This window comes from Homo sapiens, chromosome 6 (genome assembly GCF_000001405.40).
Source record: "Homo sapiens chromosome 6, GRCh38.p14 Primary Assembly".
In the NCBI taxonomy this organism is placed as follows: domain Eukaryota; kingdom Metazoa; phylum Chordata; class Mammalia; order Primates; family Hominidae; genus Homo; species Homo sapiens.
This window is the reverse complement of record NC_000006.12, coordinates 79,256,081-79,259,491: the sequence shown is the minus strand read 5'-3', so window position 1 is coordinate 79,259,491 and position 3,411 is coordinate 79,256,081. Positions and strand designations below refer to the sequence as shown.

Sequence of the window (3,411 nt, the reverse complement as noted above, 5' to 3'; positions counted from 1 at the left end):
ATAGGAATGCTTTTTTTTACACTGTTGGTGGGAGTGTAAATTAGTTCAACTATTGTGGAAGAAAGTGTGGCTATTCCTCAAGGATCTAGAACCAGAAATACCACTTGACCTAGCAATCCCATTACTGGGTATATACCCAACAGAATATAAATCATTCTATTATAAAGATAAATGCACATGTATGTTTATTGCAACATTATTCACAATAGCAAAGACATGGAATCAAACTAAATGCCCATCAATGATAGACTGGATAAAGAAAATGTGGTACATATAAACCATGGAATACTACACAGCCATAAAAATGAATAAGATCATGTCCTTTGCAGGGACACAGATGTAGCTAGAAGCCATCATCCTCAGCAAGCTAAAACAGGAACAGAAAACCAAACAACACATGTTCTTACTCATAAGTGAGAGCTGAACAATGAGAACACATGGACACAGGGAAGGAAACAACACACACCAGGGACCGTCAGGGGAGAGAGGTGAGGGAGAGCATCAGGACAAACCACTAATGCATGTGGGGCTTAATACCTAGGTGATGGGTTGATAGGTGCAGTAAAACACCATGTCACACCTATGTATCAATTATATATGTTTACCTATGTATCAAACCTTCACGTTCTGCACATGTATCCTGGAACTTAAAGTAAAATAAAATTTAAAAAAAAAACTTTACCAAAAAAAGGAATTATTTTGTAACAAGACAGTTGGAGAAATTGGTTATTTTACCAAGGCTTTGACTGGAGTGGCTTGCTTTCTTTTAAGGAATCAAACTTGACTTATAGAGCCAATAAAAGGCTCTTTGGAAAACTGGCCTCATACCTTGTCTACACAGTCCCTGTACAGGGTTCCTGACCTGTGGTAAGTAAAGAATGTCACTTTCTAACAGGCCCAGGAGCCCCAGGTTATCTTGGTACCTCAAGAAGAGAGGAATTTACCCTGTTCATAGGTATTTGATGATAAAAACTCATGGCTAGGATCAGGTTTAAAAACAGTCTTATCTGAGATTCCTTTTATGGAACAAAGTTCCATAAAAGCCAATGTAAAAAGCTTATATGAAAAATAAGTATCCTTGCTGCACTTTATACCAATAATCAGGCCAAGTATAATAAAGCAAATTGGTCTTCCCATGATATGTCTTTAGTAAAAATGGGAAACTGGAAAGAGGAAAATTATGTTTCAAGAACTAAGGTATACCTGTTATTTGATTCTAGTCTCATCAGTTGTTTTTGAGTTTTCTTTTTCCCAGCAATTTAGACTAACCCTGCTTATTCCTGTGAACCAACCAGTGATCTCTGGCCAGTGCTCAAAAGAAACAGGAGGGACCGGTAATGTAAAAATCTGGATTAGTATTCTATTTCTGGGTATGTATTGGCATCAGCTAGCAACCCCACATCAGGTTGTTTCCAACAGTTGCCCAGTTCATGGAGAGTCTTGTTATTTAGTTTACTTGGGATAATTTTACTTACTTTGCTTTACTGTTGTGCAATATATTCCTGTTGTACTCGTTGTGTAGGAATGCAGGATAAGCTTACAAAACATTTTCTTAAATCAAACACTTATTAATCTTCCAGATATCACCTTTTGTTGGAACTTGGAGTTATAAGTGGCCATACTGATGCTTTCTGACTGAGCTCCTCTCTACCCCAAATACAAGAGACCCTAATAGTTAAGCAAGAATATCATCACCCCTATTCAGCCTGAAGAAGTTACAGAAGATGGATCTTTGCTGCTCTAGAACACTTAGGATTAAGGGTTCTCTTATAAAAAGGAAGGGTGAAATATGTCAGAGGCGTTTGACCAAGAGCTACTCCATCTTGAATAGGGGCTGGGTAAAAATAAGGCTGGGACTTACTGGGCTGAATTCCCAGGAGGTTAAGTCATTCTTAGTCACAGGATGAGATAGGAGGTCAAATCATATTTTCCAGCAAAAGTAAAACTTAATAACATTACATCAGAGTGAACAGGCAACCTACAGAAAGGTCACAAAGACCTTGCTGATAAAACAGCATATGGTAAAGAAGCCAGCCAAGGGGGTGGAGCCAAGATGGCCAAATAGGAACAGCTCCAGTCTACAGCTCCCAGCATGAGCGATGCAGAAGACGAGTCATTTCTGCATTTCCAACTAAGGTACCAGGTTCATCTCACTGGGGAGTGCCGGACAGTGGGTGCAGGACAGTGGGTGCAGCACACCGTGCATGAGCTGAAGCAGGGCAAGGCATCACCTCACCTGGGAAGCACAAGGGGTCAGGGAATTCCCTTTCCTAGTCAAAGAAAGGGGTGACAGAGGGCACCTGGAAAATTGGGTCACTCCCACCCTAATACTGCACTTTTCCAACGGGCTTAACAAACGGCACACCAGGAGGTTATATCCCACACCTGGCTTGGAGGGTCCTACGCCCACGGAGCTTCGCTCATGGCTAGCATAGCAGTCTGAGATCACCTGCAAGATGGCAGCAAGGCTGGGGGAGGGGCGCCCACCATTGCCGAGGCTTGAGTAAACAAAGTGGCCGGGAAGCTCAAACTGGGTGGAGCCCACCACAGCTCAAGGAGGCCTGCCTGACTTTATAGGCTCCACCGCTGGGGGCAGGGCACAGACAAACCAAAGGCAGCAGAAACCTCTGCAGACTTAAATGTCCCTGTCTGACAGCTTTGAAGAGAGTAGTGGTTCTCCCAGCACACAGCTTGAGATCTGAGAATGCGCAGACTGCCTCCTCAACTGGGTCCCTGACCCCCGAGTAGCCTAACTGGGAGGCATCCCCCAGTAGAGGCGGACTGACATTTCACACAGCCAGGTACTCCTCTGAGACAAAAGTTCCAGAGGAAAGATCAGGCAGCAGCATTTGCAGTTCACCAATATCTGCTCTTCTGCAGCCACTACTGCTGATACCCAGGCAAACAGGGTCTGGAATGGACATCCAGCAAACTCCAACAGACCTGCTGCTGAGGGGCCTGACTGGTAGAAGGAAAACTAACAAACAGAAAGGACATCCACACCAAAAAACATCTGTACATCGCCATCATCAAAGACCAAAGGTAGATAAAACCACAAAGATGGGGAAAAAACAGAGCAGAAAAACTGGAAACTCTAAAAATCAGAGTGCCTCTCCTCCTCCAAAGGAACGCAGCTCCTCACCAGCAATGGAACAAAGCTGGACAGAGAATGACTTTGACGACTTGAGAGGAGAAGGCTTCAGAAGATCAAAATACTCCGAGCTAAAGGAGAAAGTTTGAACCAATGGCAAAGAAGTTAAAAACCTTGAAAAAAAATTAGATGAATGGATAACTAGAATAACTAATGCAGAGAAGTCCTTAAAGGACCGGATGGAGCTGAAAACCATGGGACGAGAACTACGTAATGAATGCACAAGCCTCAGTAACTGATGCGATTTACATCAGTTACTT

The 3,411-nt window shown here is 43.1% G+C and overlaps 1 annotated feature.

Moving 5' to 3' along the window:
- Positions 1,413-2,612: an enhancer, noted in NCBI's record as "P300/CBP strongly-dependent group 1 enhancer chr6:79966597-79967796 (GRCh37/hg19 assembly coordinates)". NCBI's record gives its function as "activates an origin of replication core promoter dependent on BRD2, BRD4, P300/CBP, MED14 and CDK7 cofactors, with strong dependence on P300/CBP, by STARR-seq in HCT116 cells {active_cell/tissue: HCT116}" and the evidence as "EXISTENCE:reporter gene assay evidence [ECO:0000049][PMID:35650434]".